Source organism: Homo sapiens, chromosome 11 (genome assembly GCF_000001405.40).
Source record: "Homo sapiens chromosome 11, GRCh38.p14 Primary Assembly".
NCBI classification, from domain to species: domain Eukaryota; kingdom Metazoa; phylum Chordata; class Mammalia; order Primates; family Hominidae; genus Homo; species Homo sapiens.
Window position 1 is genome coordinate 95,767,232 of NC_000011.10, and position 24,911 is coordinate 95,792,142.

Genomic DNA, 24,911 nt, shown 5'->3' on the forward strand with positions numbered 1-24,911 from the left:
TATTTTGAAGCAAATACCAATCATCATACCATTTCATTATAAATATTTTAGTAGGTGTCTCTAGGACTCTAAAAAGATAGCTGCAACACCATCATCACATCTGAAAAGTTAACAGTACTTAATTCCTTAAAATCATTACATAACCAGTGTTCAAATTTTCAGTTCTCATACATGTTAAAAATTTTTAATTTCTTGATTCCAGATCCATATCAGGGTCACATATTGTGACTGGTTTATATTAAGTACCTTTTATACTATAGGTTCTCCCTCCACTGATTCCCTCTGCTTGCAACTTATTGAACAACTGTGCCAACTGTATCCTTTTGGTGTCACTCAACATGATCTTCCATCCTTTCTATTTTTGGTTAATTGGTAGATGCTTCGTCAGATTTAGGTTTGATTCTTTTTGGCAAAACTTTATAGGTAGCAGTGTATTCCTCCATCAGAAAGCACTTAAGAATGTGTTTGTGTATTGTCAGTAGCTGCTGATGACCAATCCTTAACTCCATGAGAGGTTGCAAAATAGTGATGTTGCAATTCCATCCTTCCTTTTTCATTAGAATGTTTTAAAGAGAAACTACCCCCCATCTACTACTTACCTACCCAATGGTATAGTTTGTATGGGAAATGCAGGGAATATTAAAATGATAGTTCTCAAAATGTGAGCTCTGGGCCAGAAGCAGCATTACCTGAGAACTGAGAACTGAAAATTCTTAGGCTCCATCCCAGACCCACTGAATCAGAAAACTGGGGATAAGGTCCAGCAACATGTGTTTATCATGCCCTCCAGGTAACTCTGATGTATACTAACGTTTGAGAAACAAGGGACTACACCTGAAGTCTTGAAATGCCCTTGCTAAAAGCTGTTAGCTTTTACTACACTTTATAATACCAAAGTTAGGTTCCAGATTTTTTCCCAAGCACAGTATCTGCCCACCTAGTCTACAAATGAAAGAATCACACCTTCAACTTTTAACTTATCAAACAATCTAGCATGGTACTAGTCATGTTCCAAAGCTTTCAAAAACTTAACTATAGCTTGAAATACTTGCTCAATTAGATGCAAATTTATTTCTTCCAGGAAAAATAACTATTGCACTAAAGTGGTCTGAATGGACAGACAGGAAAATAGTTTCTAATGTTTGGCCTAAACTTCTCTCATGTATCTGTTGTTTCAGGGTTTCATACTGGAAAAAGGGGGTAAAATGTAGATGAAGCTATGTAGGCTCAATAATGGTCCCCCAATATGTCCATGCCCGAACCCTTGGAACCAGTGAATACATTACCTTATATGACAATAGGGACTTTGCAGATGTGACTAGGTTAAGAACTCGAGATGGAAAAACTACGTTGTTTGTGCAGGTGGAGCCAATAATGTTCTCATAAGGTCCTTATGAGAGGGAACAGAGGGAGACACTCTGAGAAGGTATGATGACAGCAGCAGAGAGAGATTTGAGATGCTACAATTTGGGCTTTGAAGATAAAGGTCAATGAGCTCATAGCATGCAAGGAATGCAGCTCTAGAAGCTGGAAAAGGCAAGAAAACAGATTTTCCCCTACAGCCTCCAGAAAGAAGCAATCCTGCCAATACCTTGACTTTAGACCAGTAAACCTGATTTTGGACTTCTGGCCTCCAGAACCATAAAAGAATTAATTTTTGTTGTATTAAGACACTAAGTGTGTGGGAGTTTGTTACAGCAGCCATTGAAAACTAATACAAAGCCTTTGACAAGTTTTTTATTGTGAAATATTGGATCTAGAAAAAAGTACAAAATGTCAACAGTCAGATGTGTACAAGTACAGTATTTCAATAGTCTATACATGTGAACAGCTTAACAGGTTCACTGCAGAATGCATATTTAGACCAATATAATCTAAAAAGGACTGCAATATTCACAGGCTATTAATACATAAATAACTTGAGTCAAAATGACCCTTACTGGTAAATGCTAATTAATAGTGGAAAACAGGCTAAAAGCACAATACACCACACCATAGTATCTCCTTACAGGTCCACATTTAAAGAATATCAGTTTATTATGTCAAAACACTACAGAGATCCAGGACTGGGACTGAATTACTAATTTATACAATTGCAAAAAAATTTAAGTTATAAAATAAGGTCATGGAATAAAGAAGGGTATTTAATTAGGACTAAATACTGTGAAGCCCATGAAAGGGTTTTAGCCTTGGAATTTACAAAGCTAAATTATTAGACTGTTAATGTTAGCTAACACTAAAACTGAATTACCTTCCATTTTAATGTTAGCTAATATTAATATTCAACTTTTTAATTTTGATGTTAGCTAAGGGGAAGGACGAGGACAACTTTCTTTTGTAGTTTCTCCAACAAGGTGTAAGAACTATCAAAAAGTAAAACCATAATGACCACTGTGGACTGACAAATGGCTATGAAACAAGAATATAAAACATTACAAATTTCAAAGAAAGGTAATAACTATCTTATGAATTTAGCAAATCCTGCAAACGTTAAAATCCATGTTAAGGCATTATCTATCATGGTTGAGAGTACTAAATTTAAGAAAATTATTACATGAAGATCCCATAAAAATAAACTGGTTTAGTTTACAAGATTCTAACTGAATCTTTTTGTATCACTTGAAAATTACCCTATATTATGCTTTCAAAATGGACAAAGAATTATTTGGTATTCACTTTATAATGAACTATGAGAACAGTCTATTGAAACACGTCATGTTAAAAAAAAATTGTTTCAATCATGTGTTCTTAAGAAAGCCAATCTTTGATATGACATTCACAATCAATGCTTGTATAAAACAAAACCTTTAAAACTTATAAATTTAGTAACAGTTTTACATGAAGCAAATTTATCTTTGCCCATAAATTATTAAGAGAAGCAACTCACTCTATACAGTGTATCTAGCAATACTTTAAAATCAAACTAAAACTCTGAACTGATAATAACTAGGAGATAAATTCTATTTCAGGCTGAAAACCGCTGGATCAGAATATAGTCAATAACTTCATATAACCTATCCCACCCTACCTTAACCTTTTATAGACAATTTTAAAGACTTTAGGACAATTTACTTATAATGCCTGAATCTTATAGTAGATTCCAATTTATTCAAAGATTATCACAGATTGGATTAAAAAGATCATTTAATTTTTTTCAGATTTGCTTTAAATTTACAAATTACATTGTACATAAATATTAACTTAGATAACCACACATAGGGAAAGCAGATACATGGATCATTGCAGAAACATTAAAATTTTTAAAAAATTTTATAAAATATAAAGCAAAACATGTAACTCACACAATACTAATATGAAGCCACATGACATAAAAAATAAAATTACTCTTTAAGAAGCAACTTAAAATTAAATCTTTGGGGAACTATTTTGACATAATTAAATGAATTCAAAGACCAACAGCTTCCCTTATCACACAGAAACAAATCACAAAATTTTCTACAATCTATATGCATTATCAGTTAGTTCTAAATGTAATCTCAAACATTTTACTAGCAACTTTGATTTCCTTTTGAAATAGGCTTCTGTACATATGCATTTATATACAAACATTTATTAAACATGATTTTAAAACAAAATGTATGTACAAAAGATCAGCATTCCTATAAATAAAAACATTAGGTGGCAAAAAGGCACTTGTAAGTAAAAATCTACAGTAGTTTTTACAAAACAGAAACACATTTTACCTTAGATACTGTACAATAAACATTAATTCCTATACCAATAATGAAAATGCTAGGTTACTAATGTTAATGATGTAACTTTAAAAAACAAATTTACATATATCTGAAGTTCATTTAATAAAAGCACCGTGATTTTCTCCTAAATTCATCTTGATGCAAAGTAAAAACACAATTCCCAAAAAACCAGTGTTCGCCATTTTTCGAGTTTAAAAGTTTTTGTATTTCTAAATTGAAAACTGTTTGTCTGAAATTAGCATAGTGTAAAACAAAAACAAAACAAAAAAACCCTGCTGCTCTGACTTCTGAAACCATACCTACTCTATTATTGCATGTTGCGTTTCATAAAGAGCACTACTCATGCACTCCTTTACAACTGTTTAATACTATTGCTGGCAAAAAAGTTCCTGGATATCAAATAATTAAAAAGTTACTTCAAACCAGTTGAAGTTTTATTTGAATGTTTTACAACTTAAAAAATGCTGTATATCAATTACAAAAGTGAACAGGAAACACACCAATTCATTTGGTGTGCAAAAATATTTTTCTACTACACAGAATTTAAGGGCTTCACAGAATTTTTTTTCCCCAAATTTACATTGTAAGAAGAAATGCTAAACAAATGACTTTCTCAAGGAGATGTTAGTATGCTTCCACTTTTGTCAAATTTTTTACCCTTTGATAATGCTGCGACCTGTTTGAGTAGTTCTCTGTTTTTGGCCTGTGGGAGACAAAAACATTCAAGATTAAAAATGTTTGAAATATTATTAAGTCATGCTGAAGAATACTACTTATTTAATACTGTTTTCATTTATATAAATGTTTCACTAAAGCACTAACATTAAATGAAAGAGTTGATACCTTTACATTCATCTCTTTAAGGATGAACATGCAGAAGGAAAATTCTAGATTGGCTCATCAGCCCCCTTTGTATATGTCATTATTAATATAATTGTGTCCAAAGATGCACAATTGGTTACAAAAAAGGAAACAAAGTGAATCCACTTAAAAGAAGGTCCAAATTTTAATAGGGAAAAGGTGTTTGGCCCTTCATCTTAAAAACATGAAAACTATGAAAATAAGTTGTAATTTACAATTAATAAAATCAAAGAATGAATCAAGATTTGGGAGGAGTATTTCCTGGCAAGCTGTATAAGGTCTTTTTTCTATGTTTACTCTCTTGTAGAACAAGCATAAGAGGTCATTTTTGCAAAAACAACTCAGAATTTGTTACTTTGCCAAATGCACCCAATGATATTCAATTTTTTTTAAAGCACCCATCAGAACCACTCATTATCTTGTTGTTCCTTTAGTTACCAGTCATCTGACACTGATTTTAGTGTGGTTTGAGCAGTTCCACATCATCATTTCCTATCTCATGAAAGCTTGAATTTTTACAAAGATTCAAAATTTCATTTCATCATCTGACTTGAATTTCATTATTAAATGTCCATCCATCACTAGTTTAGTGAAGAGGAATGTGTAAGTACAGTGAATATTTTCACATTTTGACTGCCTTTGTCACCTTATTCAGTCTCTTAAATATGAAAACTTAGATAGTAAGGATCCCTATATATACAAATACATTAATGATCAAGCATTTTTGTAGTTTGAGCCAAAATGGGGAAAGTGATGAAAATAGAGCACTGCCCTAAAATTAACACATTTTAAAAAGATATCCTCTGACTTATGTTTCAACACCATTTTCCTTCACAGGTTCCAGGAATTTTTATTATATAGACAGACTTTTTTAATCTCAGTACTTCATATTTTATTCTAATTTTAGCTTTTTACGGGCAGATAACACTCTGCCTTCTCTGTATGCCATCTTAAAGTGGTTTCATGAAATAACCTTTTTCAAACTTTATTCTTCCATTCCCCCACCCTTCTTCTCCAATCACTCTTGCTAATTAACACCCATGACCTCTAAAATGCAAATATTCTCAGTACTATCTTATATGTGCAAATCAAATAATTTTTTATGTTCAGATGCATGATCAATAGAACTTTCCTATTCAGTGGTTATTAATAACTAAGGTGGTAACGAAAAACTTCAATTTCAAATTCAGTATCAATTTCAAATTTTGAGTCTGCAAATTTGACTCAAAAAGATCTCCACTAGATCTGTTAAGTTATATTTATCTAAAAATGTTTATACTGATACAAAATAGTTAAAATGTGAATCTCCAAGTTCTTATCTCAATTATCAAGAAATAAAGTGTTTATAATTTTCATATTTTAAGTACAAAATACAATAATTTGAACATTAGGTCTTCAAAGCAATTTTTCCATTTAATGCTTTGGTAGCTAATTTCCAATTTGCTTTTAATATATTTATATCACTAATAAAGATATTTCTTAATAAATTACATAAGACAAAAGTCTTTATGGTAAATAAATAACACAATTGTTAAGTACAAGTCCAAATTATTCTAATTTGAATACTTTAAAAATGAATTTTATGCCATATTTCAATATATGTACATTTAAATTGTTTTATCCTAAAATTACTTCATTTTGCAGCCAGCCAAAAAAAAAAAAAAAAATCAATGAAATTCTTTACAGACTCTTAAGAAAGCTAAGTTTTAAAGTTTAGACATGTTGGTGCAAAGGAAAGAATATCAGGATTAAGAATTACATAGATCCTGCTTTAAATCCTGGCTTACTTACCAGCTACATAACCTGGAGCATATTTTCTCATTTGTAACACAAACTCCACCATCCGAACTCAAAATGAGTTGAAGGAACTTATCAAATATATAAAACACTTAGCCTAACACAGTTCCTGGTACACAGAAGGCACTCAAATGTTAGGTCCCTTTTCCTTTTAACCACTTACCTAATTAAGTGAATAAGAGTTTTAACTTGATATTCTTAGTATTTTCAATATTTGGGGTATTTTGGGGTGACATTTTGAACAATTTTTTCATGTGATGTTCAGTGTTTTGTCGTAGGTTTGGCAGTTAAAAATATTTTACTAGCTATTAGAGCAAGATCCATCTTGTGTCACAGGATTCAATTCCTTATTACATAAAGATAAAAAAAAAATTACCGGTTTCCTCACCTCAGTAAAGAATCCTACTAGTATCACTTGGTTGCTAAAGGAAGTGAGGTAAAAAGATGGCACTCAGCTATGACAGATTGTCTCTAGCCATAACACAAAAAAATCAGGGAAGTGGCCTGATAGGAAGGATGAAATAGAAAACCTGAGGAACCTGAAGTGGTGGGAACTAGTGTAGGACAGGGAAAAGTATAGATAAACTGGAGTGAGAAGACAGAGATTTCTACGTCACCGCTTACTGTGTGATCACAGTTTCCTCTGTAAAATGGGCATATCACATAACCCAGTTTTTGCAACAAGTAAGACAGCATATGTAAAATCATGTCAAAATGTCCTATTTAAATATTGGTTACTTTTATACTACATGAAACTTCAATTACCAAGAGGAGGTAGGCCTAAGATATCTATCAGGCTAAGTCAAAGATGACCCCATGTATTTGCAACTATGATTTTAAAAAAGAAAAACCAACACACAAACTGCTCTTTTGAACAGTGGGGAGCACTAAGTTAAAACATATCTGAGCACCTATTGCAGTTATTCTGTTATCTCATTCTGGATTTACTTCAGAGCTTTGGTTACATTACATTAAATCAAAGATCACCAGGTGGAAGATTTTGTTCCAGGTAATCATTCAGCATTAATAACTGAGTAAGAAAAACAGGAATAACATAAAATTAAAAATAATACTTGCTGGTGGATAAAAACATTGACTAATATATAAGAATCTGATATATGATACGGGCAATCTCTCAGAACAGAGGGCTGATGGGCATTTCCATAAATCACCACCTAGTCAACAAATTATTTGAATGCCTACTATGTCTCAGGTTCTACATGAGGTTCCTTTTTCAACAGTCTTTGTAATAGTATGATAGGGATTAAGACCAGATAATCTGTACCTCGAATTTGAGCAAGTTCCTAAATCCTACTAATTTAAGCTACTTGCAAAGAAGTATGAATAATACAAAACCAAAAGAAAGAAATAGCAAATATCCTTTGGTGTTACAATGTGAAAAAAAAAAAACAAAATGAAACAGGACAGTATTAACTCCTTCCTTCTGAAGCTGTACTCTCCCAAGTCTGACGTCTGTGTGCTGCCATCTTCCATTAACATTTAAAACTTCTTTCACCTTAAAAATTTTGTTACTAAAGACTAATTTTACAAATGTGAGACTGTATAAATCAAAGAGAACATGTAATTAATTTAGTGTGGTCTGATTTCTAAATGTATGAAACCTAGAAGAGAAGCAGCTTAATATGGTAGCATTCTGTATCCATGTTGGATGTTCACCATCTCTGCATGCCAGACATCAGATTATTACTGTGGTGACTCTTGACTTTACCATTCAGTTGTTCTGTATACTTAAACTGCTACTTTGCAGTACTCTGAGGTTCAGGTGGATCACTACCTGTTAGCATTTAGCAGAACCCTATTTGGCACTTTGCGAACCACTGTACACAGGTTAAGTAAACTCTCTTGCTTTGCACACATTTTTGCCACTCCAGGTCCTTAAGAATTGGTTTTATACACCCATCTCCTTTCCCATTATCTGGAAGGAAATATTAATGTGAGGAATGATTGCTACTGAAGACCTGCTTTTCACCTTAGTTTCATTAATCTGATTTTTAATTTTTTGCTATAAGCCCAATAATTAATTGAACACACTCCAATGATACCCTCCTCCAAAAACTCCATTTGAAGTTTAGGCAAAAGTTTTCAAGATTAAAGTACTGAATCCCCCTTTCAAGTAATTTCAAACAATAACTTCTAATGAGATCAAGATTAAAAATGATTATAAAGTCAAAATCAAAACTGAAATGCACCAACTATGCACAAAATAGGGCTACCAATAACAATCTAAGTCAATGAATGCTATTACTCAAGTTTAGCCCTTCTTGCCTATCATTTTACGTAAATGATGGTAGTTACCTGAAGTTGTTCCACAGTTTCTTTGTGGGCTTTTTCCATACTGTTCATTTTTGTTCTCAAATTTGACTCTTGGTACTGAAAGTCTGCCTTTAGTTCAGTTAACTGAGAGATTAAAGAAAAAATATATGTATATATTTGCACACATACACACACACACCATTTTAAATAACTTTCACAATAAACTCACATTTCATTACAAAAGTAGAAGATGTTAACTGCAGTTTCCTGAATTGTACAAGCTATCTAAAGTTTGTTTGGTGAAATGATGAAGTCTATCTGCTTCACAATAGTATAATTTTAATGTTAATACCTGACCATCAGTAAAACTTCTCAGTTTTCTTTTTTTCCTAAACATGGCTCGACTGGAAATAGAGTTTGGCAACTGGTATGCCAACGAAAAAAGCTTAACGGCTAATAACTGGGAAAATGCCTCATTTAAAAATGTACTTCAATAATAGTAAAAACAATATAAACATTTAAACTAGCTTATGCGTAAAATAATCTTTCAATGCTTAAAGAAAGAAATTTCACACTGGGTAATATAAAAAGGAATGGTCTTTTCAGCCAAAAGCTACACTGTTTTCATTTTTTAATTTATGTCCAGGATTATGTACACAATACCACCTAACACTTGAGGTAAAAATAGAGAACAAAGCACAGAAATACAACTAACACAGAATGAGAAAGGAAAGAAGGTTACTATAAAATTTGGGCTAAATTAGACAAATACAAGAAAAAAATCAGTGCTTTGAGGAAGAAGGCTACATGATAATTTTTCATAAATGACATACCTAACAGTATAATATCTCATGACTTCAAACTAAATAAGTTATTATGTAATTTCACTATTAGAACCATGCAGAGGGAACTCCAGGTTATTTTTTAATGTTTTTCATTATGCCAGCTTTAAAGGTTTACACATTCTCCTTTGTAATTACCCAGTATCTAATAAACTGAAAGACATACAACAGCAAAAATAGAGAAAATCATGGAGTCTTATAGTCTTATTAAAAAAAAAAACCCTTGCTTTTGTCAAATTCAAAGTATAACTAAGTTCTCTCTCTCTAACTTTCTCTAATCACAAAAGATTTTCTGTTCTGAAATGCCAACATACACCAGATCAGCTAAGACAATTACTCTATTCACTACACTGTGAGTTGCCTCCTCACTATGAACTTCTGGAAAATAAGAATTATGTCTTATTTATTCATCTTTGTATCCTCATGATCTAGTTCAGTGTCTGGCTCTAGAAATCATTAAATAACTTTGTGAAATCAATTCAGTAAAATAACTTCATCATCTTAGATTTATAAGAAAAAGTTGCAAATGTATAGTTATTTTAGGTTTACCATTAGGATTTTCCTTACAACAATGCTAATTTCAATCCCCATTAGTGTTGTGATTTTTTTAAAGAGGAACACTAACAAAAGCAGAAAACTTCAATTAACTGCACAATACAAAGATAGTACCTCTTATGCTAGAGAGGAAAGAAAAATCTAGCAGTCAATATTCTATAACTGATTACTACTTGGTTTTGAAATCATTGCTATTTTGCAGTAAAGTTGGCATTTTATTCAACTTTTCTCAAGGCTAATGCAGATATATCTGGCCTGTCTCTAAAACTTTGTACACAGGACAAATTTCCATAAAGGCTCATTAATTTAAAAAATGCTGTCAATCAAAAAGAACCATAAGACAAAGACACCCGTAACTATCCTATTTTATATGTCACTCCTAATTTTCATATACTAAATTTGCTTAAAGTAAGCTACAAATGTATTAAAATAAATTAAGCCCACTAACCATCAAGGTGTGGCAAAATGTATCAAAAATTACTGAATGCCAGAAGTAAAAGCCAACTCAGCACAGACTTAGAGATGGATATAAGTCATATATGTATTCATATTAAGGCCTTATTCTTTTAAAAGAAATGATTTTAGTGTTCTCCTACTGCATAATACATTTGATACAGGTCAAACTACATTGTCTGGGACCATAAAACAAGTACAAAAGATGATCAAACAGTAATAGCCCCTATGGGCACTTATACATACCAGGAGCTATAATAAATACTTTGCATTTTCATTAATCATCAAAACCATCACTTCAGATAATATTAATGCTCTCATTTAAATGAGAAAACTGAGGTCCAAAGAAGCACACATTCTGCTTTAGGTCACACAGAAAATGTTAGAACTAGGATTTGAATCTAAGTATGGCTAAATTACTTCAAAACTGTTTCCTGTTCCATGCCTGTCCACTATTGTGCCATCCTGATTTCATAGCACAAGACCTTAAATCCTTCTGTAATTCTGTTAATATTCCTCTTTTCACTAAATGAACAACACATTTTAATATTCCTCTTCATTTAACTGATGAAGTCCCAATAAGTACACTTACTTCCTACACAATGAGCTTTTAGACATCTATTGCTAATTACTATTACTGACTACTACAGGAAATTCCCATACCATTACTTTTCAGCAGTATTTTGATCTGGATTGATACAAATATATGACTGGATTGATACAAATATATGAATGTTATATCAAAGACTGTTCAAACTACATTCTTAAATCAAAAAAGTTTATGAAATATTCCATTTACATCTCATTTTTAATTAGGTATTAGATCTATTTTTAAATTACATGCTTACTGAAAATTAAAGTTTGGAAATTACTATCCTAATTAAGCCTCAGTTAATTCTTAGAACTAAAAATCTGAAAGACCATTTTTACCCATCTTCATTAGATGGCTTCAGGGGCTTTTGTAATTTGTCTTATAAAAATCACGCACAACAAACATTACCAAATTATTAAAGGAAGTCTAATAAAATTTGCGATTATCAAGCAACAGTCAACACATAACTCTTACCAGGCTTCAATGAACCATGTTCTTACCTTTTTATCTTTTTCTAAAATGGTCTGGTCTCTCTGCTGTAAGAGACGCTTAAGTGACATCACTTCTTCTTTCAATTGACTTATAAGGACAAAATTGTCTGTTCCCCCACTATCTGCTGACTGATTTATAGAGCTACTAAAAAGAAAAAAGTAAAACACAGTTAAATGAAGTAGAAGGAAAATTAGCAGGTGTTCAAATTGCATAAATTAGACAATTCCACAAACATCCTTAAGGCTAATGCAAAAAAATATGTACCTGACAGAAATGGATGCAACTGGCAAATTACCTTACTAATGGCACACATTACATACACCTGCAGAAATATAATTCAGTATTAGCTTTAAGGGGGTCAATACTTCTAGTGTAAAGCAATAGGCAGCCAATTTGTACAGTAACATCAGCAAACTTTTGGCTAATGAACTAAAACAAAGTAACGCTCATAATATTTTTAATCTAAAAACATTTTCTAAGCAGGTCAATTTAAAATATCACAATTAGATTTGTGTTTCACTGAAGAATAAAGATAAAAATAATGTTCTCCATTCAAATTTGTTTCTTCAAAACCCAAATTTATTTCCCAAATAGAACAACATAGTTCAGTGCCACTTTCTTATTGCCAAAATTAAGCTAAAAATTTTAAACTAATTTATGTTTATTCTTCTAGGTGACTCAAGTCAATGTAGAAAATACATGTTTCTATTTTTTTATCTAGTAATAACTGGCATTCAACCATAACTATTCAACTAAGTTGAATTTTCATAACACTAAAAGAATTCATTTTTACCTATCTCCATTAGATGGCTTAGATTCCAATTTGGGCTTTTTCTTTGGAGTTTCATTCTGAATTGTTGCAGAGGATTTATGGCTGAAACCAAACATTAATAAGAATAGTTAGAGTAAAAAGGACAGAGAAACCAAATGATAAGTTATTCATCTTCCCCTAAAATATTACTGAAAATACTGATTTTGGTAAGACTTAAGTAACAAAGTTGAAGGGATATCACATTTATAAATATACATTTCAAAATACTTCAGAAAATACAGCAATGTATTTACCTCTGTTTCCACAGTCCCTGCTCTTCTTCTGGACTTAGATTGCTGATTCTGAAAAATACACAAATGACATCTAATAATGACATTTATTTATTTAATACATCTAAATTTAACATTCTTTCTCAATGGATACAAATTTTATGTTTATAATATTTTCTTCAGAGAAAGGTATATTTAAGTTTTCAGACTAAGCTAATACATATTGAATAAATCACATTCTGATGAAATAAATTTTAATAAAATGACTGCTAACCATCTCAAGTTCTTCAAGAATTCTTTATAATCAGGATCTCCACAGTTCAATTTAATATCATACAAAGGGTGGGTTACACAAGTAGTTTTCGTGCTTGTGTCTAGGTATCACTGTACTTTGGCTGCCCTTACTATTTCAGACACAAAATTTGTATCTTTAAAGTTAAGGCTTTCCTAATAATCTGAAGTAGAGATTCTTCTTTTGGAGTAACTCAAGTTGCTCAGAATAGTATTTCAATTTAAATGGGGAAATATATTGATTTCTTTGATTCTTTCCTAGTTTTCTTAAGAATCCTCTCCAAAGTCCATAGAGCTCTCTTTAGTTAGTATTCTGGAGAAGTTACGCTGAAACTATTGAGAAATTTCATAGTAACAAATTATTTTACTTTTACTCATAATTAATACTGTAATACTCCTTTTCTATTTTACCCTAATACTAATAATCACTTTATAATTCATCATGAATCCTTCATTTTTTTCCTCCTAAACTTGCATATCAGTCAATGCTTCACTAACCCTAGCTTATTCACTCAGCATGTAGAGAGCATCTCCTATGAACCAGATGCCACGTATTTATACGATTTAGAAGATGTTAGAATACCTGAGCTGTGACCTTATGCAAATTACTTAACATCCCCAGCCTTAGTTCCCTCATATGTAATACATACCTTATACTGATATGAGCATTAAATGAGTTATATATGTAAAATCACTTAGTACAGTGCTAGCATATACAAAATAGACATATATATATATACATGTTTACTTGTGTCTAAAATTTACTATTGGTTCAGCTGTAGAAGTTTTTTAAGCAAAAGAAAAAAACAAACCTTAAGACTCAGCTGTAAACAAGTACCAAGTTGGGAAAAAAATGTTAATAGCAATAATTCCATCAAGTGAGTTATTCTTACTTGTGAATGAATGGAAATCCTATTGAGGAATGCAGTTGTCCCTTTTTTTTTTTTCCCACAAATTTCATTATAAGCCTAACAAGCCATACATGAACTAACAGCACTAACCATATCTCAAAGTTAAGAATAATCACATTAATATCACTGACAGAAACACTTGGAATTCCCATCTTATCTTTCTGAGGGTTGTCCATTCCTAGATTCAGACCCACCTTAGTGCCACCTGGCAACCACATCCCCTACCCCTGCCGATCACTATCTATCACAATATGAATGCTCCTCATTTTCATTCTGATCTATTGAACTTAAGATAGGACCCTACAAAGTAACTGTTCATCAAATGGTCAACAGCCATCAAATAGAAAATAGTGTTTGTATTTCATAAGTAACCAGAAGTAAAAAAATTGAAGACTTTCATTTTCAATACTGTTCTCTTTCCCTTTATTTTTGAAACCTGTCATTCTTTCAAAAAATTAAGTTGCTGTCACATACTTTAGTCTTCACAAACATAATCTGATTGTGTCCTTTTACATCATGCTAAGACAAATTTATCTGTAAAGAATAGGGAAAGGAGACATTTTGGGAGTCTTAGAAGTAGGTCTGACATATGCTATTATGGTATATAGTCATTTTGTCATATTTTTTCTTAAAGCAAGAAGCAAAAACAAGGTAGACTTATATTATTTTGCTTCTTGAAATACTCTGATATAAAGATCACAAGGTTTCTTCAAAACAGCCAGAAGAGAAGACACTGCATTGTAGTCTACCACTGCCACATTTAGAAAACACTACAACATGGTAGAATTAAACATCACTAACCTCAACGTAACCTCATAATCTAATAGGTGATTGGATACAGTTTACAACAAATCTTACTAATTAGACAGAACTACATTACATTCTAAAAATACTGCATGTGTTCCAAAATGAGGTGGGCATCAGTTGTTTGTAAATTCTGTTTTAAATAACTATCTGAAACTTTAAAGACTCACAGAAAAATTTAAGAACAAACAATAAATTATTCTGAAAATGGGCATGCCATATGTCCGTTTTTTCCATTTTAATTTGTGTTTGTCAGTTTAATTTGTATTTTCATGTTCTTGATTTTTCCGTGAAGACTAAAATTGCATTTTAAAAAATCTTTATACCACACACATCAAGGGTTAAGGTACTACTACTACTACATAACTCCCCCCACAGGTCACTTTAAAAATCAAGTACAGCTGACCCTTGAACAACCCAGGTTTGAAATGTATGGGACCACCTATAGGAGAATTTTTTTTTCCCAACCAAATACGGATCAAAAATACAGTATTTGGAGGATGTGAAACCTGCATATATAGAAGGCCAACTTTTCCTATAGGCAGGTTCCACAGGGTCAATTGCAGAACTGGAGTATATGCAAATTTTGGTCTATGAGGGGGTTCTAGAACCAATCCCTCAAGCATACTGAGGGAAAACTACAGTTGTCTCTATTTAAGTAGAGTTCCTAAATATATGTTTGAAAAAAACACAAAGTATCATTAGTTAAAAATATTGCTCATATTTTGGGGACCACAAAGATCAGAAATGCTTCTATCATAGTAACAAATTATAGTATTAAAATATGTTCTCCAAACCCAGTCATTGGTTTGTTTCGATTTGTTTTTACTAAAACAAATTGACAACTAAAATATAATTTTTCAAATAAAACCTTAACAATTATTTAAACAAAAAAAGAATACTGAGGCTTTTGATAAGTTATTTAAGTGTTAATTAACTGACGTACTTGTATTTTGACTTTACATGGTTATAATTTTATAGATTTTCCTAAATATCTGTATTATGGTAAACAGCTCAACATATTTCATGTATATAACATTCTACACTGAATAAAATGGAGACACAGCCTTAGACACTCAAGATGCTTACTGTGTACAATGGAAACTAGACTAGCACATAGTCAATATTTGCAAGAAGTAAACATCAATAAATGGCATTAAAATGCAAGGAAGAGTTTTAGAAAATATGATTTCAAAGTACTTACTTGTGATGGCTACTGCTGTGACGATGGTGATGGTGATGATGGTGGTGATGATGTTTTGGATGATGCTGGTCTTTCTCAGTAAGAGATGAAGAAGATGAATTTGAATGTGAAGATCCCAGGCTCTTCCTTTGTTCTTTCGTCTTCTGTAAAACTCTTTTGTACGATAAAGTACAGAGCCAGCATAATAACTTTCCATCAACCTTTTAAGAAAATGTGTTAAATTAAATGTACCCATATAAACTGGCTGTAAACGAAACCAGGTAAGATAAACCACTCAACTTCCACCTATATTCCACACGTAACATGCACAAATGCATGTATGCACATATTCACGGATTTTCTGCAAAACAGAAATAAAACTGGACTTTTCTGAAACTTGAGAAAATACTTGTTAGGAGAATTATAAAACTGATGAGGATGACATCAGTTTTGAAGCATTTTTAATTTGAAGAAAAAGAAAATGTTACCTTTTTTCTTATTCCAGGAGAATAAGCATAAACTGACTGATATACTTCCAAGAAATATAGCCTGAATTCTTATATCGCTGTGTCATTACTAATAATTTTTCACTACAGTAAGTACTGTAAATTTACAGAAAAACAGAAGCATCTAAATGACACACAGAGTTGCTTCTCATTATTCTTGCATTTCCTATTCGTGTATTTGCCTACCTAGTAAAATGTATCTGTAACCCAAAAATCAAGACTTGTAGCACTTTTGTGGCCACTGCACACATACACAAGAGTGGTGAAAAATCTGTGCCACCCAATAGCACACATTCTCAGCTGAGGTGGAACAAGGTGATGCTCTGCCTCATTTATTTCACCTCTCAGACAAGTATCCTTTTCACAGTCTGTTTAGTGCCATGTTTTTCAAGTTTTTATAGTCCCAAAGAGTACTGCCAAAGTGCTGTATAGTGTTCCTAGGCTCAAGAAGGTTGTAATGTGAAATGGCAAAGACATGGAATCAACCTAAATGCCCATCGTTAGTAGACTGGATAAAGAAAACATGGTACGTATATACCATGGAATACTATGCAGCTATAGACAAGAACAAGATCATGTCCCTTCCAGGAATATGGATGGAGCTGGAGGCCATTAACCTTAGCAAACTGACAAAAGAACAGAAAACCAAATCCTGCATGTTCTTACTTATAAGCAGGAACTAAAGGATGAAAACACATGGACACACTGAGGGGAACAACACACATTAGGGCCTATCAGATGGTGGAGGGTAGAAGAGGGAAAGAATCAGGAAAAATAACTAATAGGTATTAGGGTTAATACCTGGGTGATGAAATAATCTGTGCAACAAACCTCCATGACACAAGTTTACCTATATAATAAACGTGCACATGTACCCCTGAACTTAAAAAAAGGAAAGCTACGAAGGCTGTGATGTGTCTTAAAGAGAAAATATGTGTGTTACATAAGTTATGTTCAGGCACTCTTAGCACTGTTGGCCATGAGTGCAATTAAATTAATCGACAGTGTGTGTGTGTATATATACACACACACACACACACACAATTTTTTTTTTTTTTTTGAGACGGAGTCTCTGTCGCCCAGGCTGGAGTGCAGTGGCGCAATCTTGGCTCACTGCAAGCTCCGCCTCCCGGGTTCACGCCATTCTCCTGCCTCAGCCTCCTGAGTAGCTGGGACTATAGGTGCCTGCCACCATGCCCAGCTAATTTTTTGTATTTTTAGTAGAAACGGGGTTTCACCGTGTTAGCCAGGATGGTCTCGATCTCCTAACCTTATGATCCACCCACCTCAGCCTCCCAAAGTGCTGGGATTACAAGCATGAGCCACCATGCCTGGCCAATCGACAGTATACATTAAATGAGATATCTTCAAACAGGAACACAAACAAAATAAGGTTATATATTGATCAACTGACCAACATGTTATTACTGGAAATGTGAACTTAATCCTATATTTCTCTTGGGCAATGCTTCAATACAGTACTCCCCTATCTACAGTTTTAGTTACCCATAGTCAACCTTAGTCTAAAAATATTACATACAATACACTATTCTAAGGGATAAAGACCACATTCATATAACTGTAACTAGGGTATGCTAATATAATTGTTCTATTTTGTTATTATTTTTATTAGTCTCCTGTTATACCTAATTTAAAAACTACACTTTATCATAGGCACGTATGTACAGGAGAAAACACAGTAAGGTTCGTTACTATCCCCAGTTTCAGGCATCCACTGGTCTTAGAAGGTATCTCCCATGGATAAGGTGGGTACTACCGTATTCACTGTTTTGTGGGAACTTTAAAGAACTACCACAAATAATGAGAATCAATCGTACCTGTGTCAAAGAAGAGACTTTCCAGAAGTACTGACTAAACCTCTAAAAATAAAACCAAGTTTTTATCTTCTGTTTGTTCACATGTATTCCATCCATAGTATTCCATGATGTTTATGTACCAGACATGCTGGAGGGACATGTCTTATAATGGGATATGTACATTGCTGTGGGGAGACCTGAGGAAGCCCCTCAAAGAGGTAGTCATTCTCCAAATCAACTAAAATTGATAGGCAACAGGAGGCCTGTGTGAATGCTGATCGGCAAAGGAATTATCACATGAACACAAATACTTATTACATTAAGTCACTGCAGGTAGACAAAAACAAACAACAGTTTCAAATATGAGCCTTTATCAAAAGGCACAAGAGTAACTGAATTTTATGTGCCAATGTGCCATCAGGTATTTTTTTCACACCAGTGATGTCAAGTAACTAGCAAAAGGGTAAAGTAAAAGGAGATATTTAAGCAATTAGTTAAATCTCCTGAACCAAATGTGGGATAGCCAACTAGTACAGAATAGCCACCATAGAATATTTTTTAAAGTATAGTACATGAATCTATGTATCATGCAAACAAAGAGAAAACTCACTATTCCTGCACTTTCATCTAACTACTTGCTTTCATGGACCTAAAGAATAGATCCAGTCTCAGTAGTGTATTAATTATAATTTCCAACTTGTTTGGCATTTTATTTAATTTCCAGAAGATGTCATAACATAAATAAAGCATACCTTTCTTCTTCCTTCCTCCTTCCGATCAAAAGCACATTGCTGTTTGCACTGTTCACAGGTCTGAGGTGGTCCATACTTTTTTTCTGAATTTGTGCAACGCTGACACTTGGTACCAATAAATGCTGCAATTATGTTACAGTACTGACAAGGCTTGGGCTGAAAAACATACACATTTTGAGACTTTTAAAAACATTAAATATTTGCGGCATAGCATATACCCAGTGTTGTAGACATATTTCTGGAATTAAGAAAACTCAGGTAAAAAATTTGTTTTCTGTCAAGTTTGTTGCCCTGTCACATGCAATAACTTTTATACCATATTTCTATGCATTCAACTAGTATTTATTTCTAGTCATGTAACTATTACTCTAAGATCGTGAGAAATAGATTTGTGATTTGCATAGTCTGTTAGATAATACAAAAACTACACATAAAAAAGGTTTTAAAGAACGAAAATAAAGGTACATATGTAGAGAAGTCTCATGAATCAAGAATTTGAGGAAACGTCCTTCTACTAATATCCTAGTTACCTTAATGACCATATCATTTATTTAGAAAATGTTAACTTTTCATCACATATAGGTACAAATCATATAAGGAATATATACTGTGAGTTTTCAACTTTGAAAAAATGAGAACAAGCATATTCAACATAAACTATAAAAACATACCTTGATTTTCTTTGATATTCAAAAGATGATTCAGGGCAGTTTAGAGCGTTAAAGTTAGCATTTTTGACCAATAATAAATAATATTGGTATAATATACCTATAATGATTGTAGTATACATATAAGACAATTTGTACTAGGATTGGGTCATGACTTCTGTGAATAAATATCTTTAATTGCGCTGTTTTATAAAAATAGTTCTGAGGAGGCTGTTCTGAAGTGGGCTAAAGTCTGATGATGCAAACTTTATGGATAAGTTCTCCATAACCAAGAATTTGCTATATTTGAATCTCTAAAGAACAGCTTCACAAATTTCACACTGGATTCAATACATGTAAAACAGGTATATAATTTGACTGTTTTTAAATGTTATCACCTTTCCATCAAAGTATCTATAGAAAATGTCTTTCATAAAATATGGTATGTTGAAATATCTAAGAGCATAGCAGTAGTTTTTTTTTTTCGAGACGCAGTCTCGCTCTGTCCCCCAGGCTGGAGTGCAGTGGCAGGATCTCAGCTCACTGCAAACTCCGCCTCCTGAGTTCACGCCATTCTCCTGCCTCAGCCTCTGGAGTAGCTGGGACTACAGGCGCCCACCACCATACCCGGCTCATTTTTTTTTTGTTGTATTTTTAGTAGACATGGGGTTTCACCGTGTTAGCCAGGATGGTCTCCATCTCCTGACCTTGTGATCCGCCCTCCTCGGCCTCCCAAAGTGCTGGGATTACAGGCGTGAGCCACTGTGCCCAGCCAGCAGTACATATTTTTTTAAAAGGTCCAGCTTTATGAAAAATATTAACTGGTAACAATGACATGAAAACATAAGACATACTTACCGTCCCAAATTGCTTCACATTTTGAGCACACTTCTTACAAATTGTGTTAGTTTTGCTGAAAAATAAATTGTATATAGATCATGTTTATGTAGCTTTCTAAAGTAATTAGCACAATGTCAAAATAAAATGAGTCAAAGATTTGTTGTACTTAAAACTTTAATAAGGACCACGGATTTTTTTCAAATATACAAGGATATTTTCAGAGTTGTTTTACCCAAATTAACTTATGACAAATGTTTTTATACATTTTTATTGCATATTACTTTTTGTAAACAAAACATCTTAATGTTTCCTATATAGCTCCAAAATCTTCACACTTGACACTATTACTGCACAGCATTACAATACCAGTGCCTACCTAACCTTCCACTTGGCTACTGTCCAACATTATAATGCCCACACCTATTTATGAAGAAATTATTTGTTCTTTTCTGAGGCTACTTTCTGTATATACTCTCAGAGTGGAACTGTTAAAAATGTTACGTACTACTCCTCTTCTATGTAACAAATTATTAGATTTTCACCTTGGAAGGCAGTTGGTAACACTACAGACCTTTCCTCAGATCCATTAAGGCTTTACCATTTTTTTTTAGTTTAACATAACTGTTTACATTTGCATTTTCATTAGCAAGGCTGTACATTTTCCATGTAGTATTATTCCTTCTCTCATATAAAGTCTAACTGTAAATTAACCACCACTGGTTTTTTTCGCAACATTCTCTCTCCCACCATGTATAAAAGGTTTACAACTTAAAATTTCTGGGGCTAAACCATTTTTTAAAAATACTTTCATAAAAACATGGGATTACAACCCCCAAGTATTCCATAAAGACAACACTTGTCTTTAACAGTCAAAAACTATTCAGTATACAAACCTCTCTTGTTGAAATTCTGATCTGCAGTAAGTACATTTTACAATAGGATGTGCAATCCGACATTCCTGTAATAAGACAATACATTAGTCAGTATCTTTCTGAAAGTCCCAAATCTCACTTTTCTGGTAGAAAACTGTTTACCCAACCTAGTGAAAGTCTAAAACATTTATAAAACCTGGCCCCAACGTAAAGAACTGGATGCTTTATCATATAAGTGGCCAATCACAATATAATTCCTTAGGGAAGGCACAGGTGTCTTTGTCTTTAGTAGACGTGGGGGTATATTACAGACAAATTAAGAAAGCTGTCAGGGCCTATTTCAAGGATTGGTTAAATGTGAAACTACTTATTATTTTGCACCGTTGCTCACAGACAGCATCCAGGCTTTAATGGGATGGGAGGAGCTCCAAATCAGAGCATTCTGTTCCCAAACCAGTCGCTTCGCTTTCCTGGACAGGGAAGAAGGATGCCATCAGCTTTGCGGCTTCGGGTTCCTAGCAAGAAAGTGCAAAAACCGTCCCCTGCCTCCTGGTGGAAGAAGAGGACAGACCAGGCAGAAAACCGAGATGAAAACATCTCCACCCCTGGGTCTCTGCGGCATAGACAGGTGGCTGCCTCACTCAACCCCACTCCTGAGACCCCCAGACGCTGACGGGGCCCGGCACCCTCCTGGGCCGCCTGGAAAAGGGCACGATTCTGCCTCCCTTTCAGGGTCCGTTCCCAGCTAATGTTCAAGCCCCCAGAAAAAGGGGTCCCCGAGTGGGGAGGCGAGGGCTCCAGACTCCCAAACCCCTGAGGCGCCGGCGAAGAGGGGCTGCAGTGCAGCGGCTACCCGGCCCCCTCCGGCTACGGCCGAGGACACCCATCCCGCCCGCCTCCCGGAGCCCACGGACCTTGCAGAGCTGCTGGCCCTGGGAGAGCTCCTCGAAAGGATAACGCTGGGTACACTTGGTGCAGGCGTACAGGGCCGAGGCCGCCATCCTGCTCCTCAGTCTCCTCCTCCGCCGCCGCCCGCTCCGAGGCGGGGCCCTACGGAGAACCCGAGAGCCGCCGCCGCCCGGGCCGCGGGCTCCTCCTCCTCCCCCTCCCCCTGCCTCGCGCCCACCAGGGCCTCGCCGCGAGAGCCCAGGGCCCCGCGGACGACGCCACCGTCTCCCTCCGCCTCCACTTCCGCCCCAGCCCACCCAGTGACGCCGTGCCAGCCGCTCCCGCTTAGGCCCCGATAGCGGCGGAGGGAGACGAAGCGGGTAGGGGGTTGCTGTTTAGCTGTGCGGCCGTGGATCCGCTTCCTTCTCGGCCTCCCTTTCCCATCCCTGATTGGCTGCGAAGGCTATCGCGTCATTCGATGGCTCCTCCCAACTCCCAACTTCCGCGACGCAGGAAGCGCCCACAAAGGGAGGATGTCGCCGGCCAATGACATCCCGGAGCTCTCAGCGCGCGAAATCCGCTTTGAACCTGCCCCGCCCAAAGGTCTGCGGTCGCGGCTATTTCTAACAGCCAGTCCCAGGTTTGGCTGAGAGCGCCCCAATCCAATTGAGCAAATGTTCGCGAAAGGCTCGTTCTCTGCCGCAACTTTTTTTCCCTTGCTTTCTATTGGACTAAATCGTTAAGTCCCTCCTAATCCTATTTGTTATTGGCCAAAAGGTAAATACTTCACCTGGAGAGGCGTCCCCGAGGCAAATTCACGCTCTCTCCGGCGTTTAATCCGAGGGAACTCGTGGAGTGCTTTAACTTCGCCTTCGCTTTTGTTTTATCTCCATTACTCCCTTCAGTTGCCACTGGCGACACCACTACTCGCCCACGCTTCTTACTGGAGGAGGCCCGACCCTCCGTAGAATCCCCGCAGAGCCGGCCTGTAACCCCGGCGTTGTCTGCCCCAGCGGGCCCCGTTACGCGCTACCTTGTGACGTCACCAGGGAAGAGGCGGATTCTCTCCTACTACAGAAAGACGTCTGCTGTTTTGATTGGCTAGGAAAGACGTCCGTTAGGACGTGTTGCCCTTTCTGTGTAAGCTGTGAGCGTAGGCGGCCCTGAGGGGGTGTGTTGCAGGGGTTTCCAAGCCCAGCACCAGCACCCTTGCCCTTTTCCATCAGGGGTTCAGCCTAGGGTCCCCGCTGGTGGGCGGCTCCCGAGTCTTGGAGAAGAGCACGAGAACCTAGACCGCCCCCGAAGTGCGGAGACCCCCTGGGCAGGCTGAAAGATGGCGGCGGCGTCTGTCTCTGCGGCTTCTGGTTCTCACTTGTCGGTAAGAAGCAGTTGGCGCGAGTGGGCCCCACGTCGGCCCTAAGCGCCTCTTTGAGTTTCCTCACGTTTCAGGGCGCTGTCAGTCCAGCTTCTGACGCAATTCTGGAGGTCGGCGGGAATGCCTAGATTGCCCCGCGCTCCCCAAGCTTCCATTCACTGTGGCTGTGTCGAAGCTGCACCCTCTGGCTCCCAGTGAAACTGGGCTGGCCGCCCCTGTTCCCCAGCCCTTATTCACCTTTTGGCGTAGCAACCAACCCCGGTTGCCTAACATTCCCAAGGGCCGGCTGGGATAACTGCCCACTCCCTGGCCTGCAAAAATGTAGCTCTTTTGGTCACGTGGGTTCAGCGGCCCCTCTAGGAAACTCGCCAGATCAGGTGAGGCGCGCCAGTGTGTTTAAGAGACGTTGCAGAATAGTAGTCCGCCGTCTCTCGAGCGCTTACTAGTCGTTGCTTATGCTGTTTCCTATCCCTGCAGTGCCTCCCACTCCCATCCACATTAACTTCGTTGTGTGATGCTCGTAGCCAGAACGCGCGCTTCCTGTCACCTAGAATTACTGGAACTTCAATGTGGAAATGCCCTTTTGGAGAGGCGACAGGGGGAATTGATTTTAAATATTGTTTTCGCCTCATCAAATGTCACCATCCAGTTTAGTTACTGGTATTCACTGGTATTTCTCAAATTGGAGTGTCGAATGCTTAGGTTTTTGAAAACCGCGGCATTGGAAAGCTTTGATAGGAAGTAAATGTTGGAGCTCTTATTTCTCCAGTTAGCAAATGTTCGATGCCTGGTATACTGTTAGGGTCCAAATGAACAGAATAGAAACCCTGCTTTGAAGGAGAAAAACACTGAAGAGAAACTACACGTAATTAGTGATTACTGCGCAGTATAGTTTAGGAAGTGCTACCGTAGTAGAATAATCTAGAGGGGAGTGATTAACAGTGCTTGGGTAGGCTAGAGAAGGTTTCCTAGAAGGGAAGATGGAGCTAGTTGCGTGTCGAAGGAATTGTGATTGCTTGTCCCAAGAGTAGAGAAAGGAGAAAAAGGCAGTGCGGGAATTTTGGAGTATGTGCTAGAACAGTAGGTGCTTTTAGGAAACTTGAGATAGTTCGGAATGAGAAGAAGTAATACGGAGGTAGAGCTGGATGAGGTGAATTGGAAACGTAGGTAAAAACGTGAAAAAAGAAGGATGGTGAGGGAAGGAACTAGAAGAGTATCAGGGTAAAGTTATTTTCTAGGATCTAGGGGGAAAGAGTTGGAAACGCTAAGAAAGCCTGGTCACCTTGGAGAAGTCAGTTTCAGCTTTTGGAGACTTGTTAGAATTTGTAATAATGGGACTAGAAGTATTACAGTGTTTCAGCCGAATGGGAATTAGAAGTTTGCAGAGAGGTCTGGGGAAGTT

At 35.9% G+C, this 24,911-nt stretch overlaps 2 protein-coding genes across 29 annotated transcripts in view, besides 3 other annotated features; one reads left to right on the top strand and one right to left on the bottom strand.

The window, feature by feature from the left end:
• Positions 1-1,721: 1,721 nt before the first annotated feature.
• On the bottom strand, positions 1,722-22,551 carry FAM76B (family with sequence similarity 76 member B). Of its 11 annotated transcripts, none has more exons than XM_047426410.1 (11): positions 22,161-22,551; positions 21,638-21,716; positions 21,268-21,332; positions 20,393-20,447; positions 18,888-19,043; positions 15,834-16,033; positions 12,648-12,695; positions 12,376-12,456; positions 11,591-11,726; positions 8,691-8,792; positions 1,722-4,419 (listed from the first exon to the last, which is right to left on the bottom strand). In XM_047426410.1, exons 2-11 carry the CDS (start codon positions 21,644-21,646, stop codon positions 4,330-4,332), a joined length of 942 nt encoding a protein of 313 aa, XP_047282366.1. In that variant the 5' UTR covers positions 21,647-21,716; positions 22,161-22,551; the 3' UTR covers positions 1,722-4,329. The 11 variants fall into 11 exon arrangements, 10 of the variants coding, with proteins under 10 accessions (XP_047282366.1, XP_011540912.1, NP_001317286.1 ...); XM_011542610.3 differs by having other exon boundaries at positions 21,638-21,795; NM_001330357.2 differs by lacking the exon at positions 21,638-21,716 and having other exon boundaries at positions 11,591-11,723.
• Positions 22,159-22,578: a silencer, noted in NCBI's record as "silent region_3851". NCBI's record gives its function as "represses an Ori minimal core promoter by ATAC-STARR-seq in GM12878 lymphoblastoid cells {active_cell/tissue: GM12878}" and the evidence as "EXISTENCE:reporter gene assay evidence [ECO:0000049][PMID:35858748]".
• The window catches only part of CEP57 (centrosomal protein 57), a 42,680-nt gene continuing 40,551 nt past the window's right edge, over positions 22,783-24,911 (top strand). For 17 of the 18 annotated variants that reach the window (NM_001363604.2, NM_001440877.1, NM_001243776.2 and 14 more), the window contains exon 1: positions 23,267-23,512. Coding sequence is in view for 10 of the 18 variants with exons in the window: in NM_014679.5 (NP_055494.2) it covers positions 23,468-23,512 (45 nt within the window). In the remaining 8 variants the exon portion in view is untranslated. Of the gene's footprint in view, positions 22,912-23,266; positions 23,513-24,911 lie in introns of those variants that run through there. The other variant, NM_001440869.1, reaches the window with a different exon arrangement.
• Positions 23,079-23,548: an enhancer, noted in NCBI's record as "active region_5417". NCBI's record gives its function as "activates an Ori minimal core promoter by ATAC-STARR-seq in GM12878 lymphoblastoid cells {active_cell/tissue: GM12878}" and the evidence as "EXISTENCE:reporter gene assay evidence [ECO:0000049][PMID:35858748]".
• Positions 23,512-24,175: an enhancer, noted in NCBI's record as "H3K27ac hESC enhancer chr11:95523907-95524570 (GRCh37/hg19 assembly coordinates)". NCBI's record gives its function as "activates a minimal SCP1, AML or CMV promoter by ChIP-STARR-seq in primed H9 embryonic stem cells {active_cell/tissue: H9 hESC(primed)}" and the evidence as "EXISTENCE:reporter gene assay evidence [ECO:0000049][PMID:30033119]".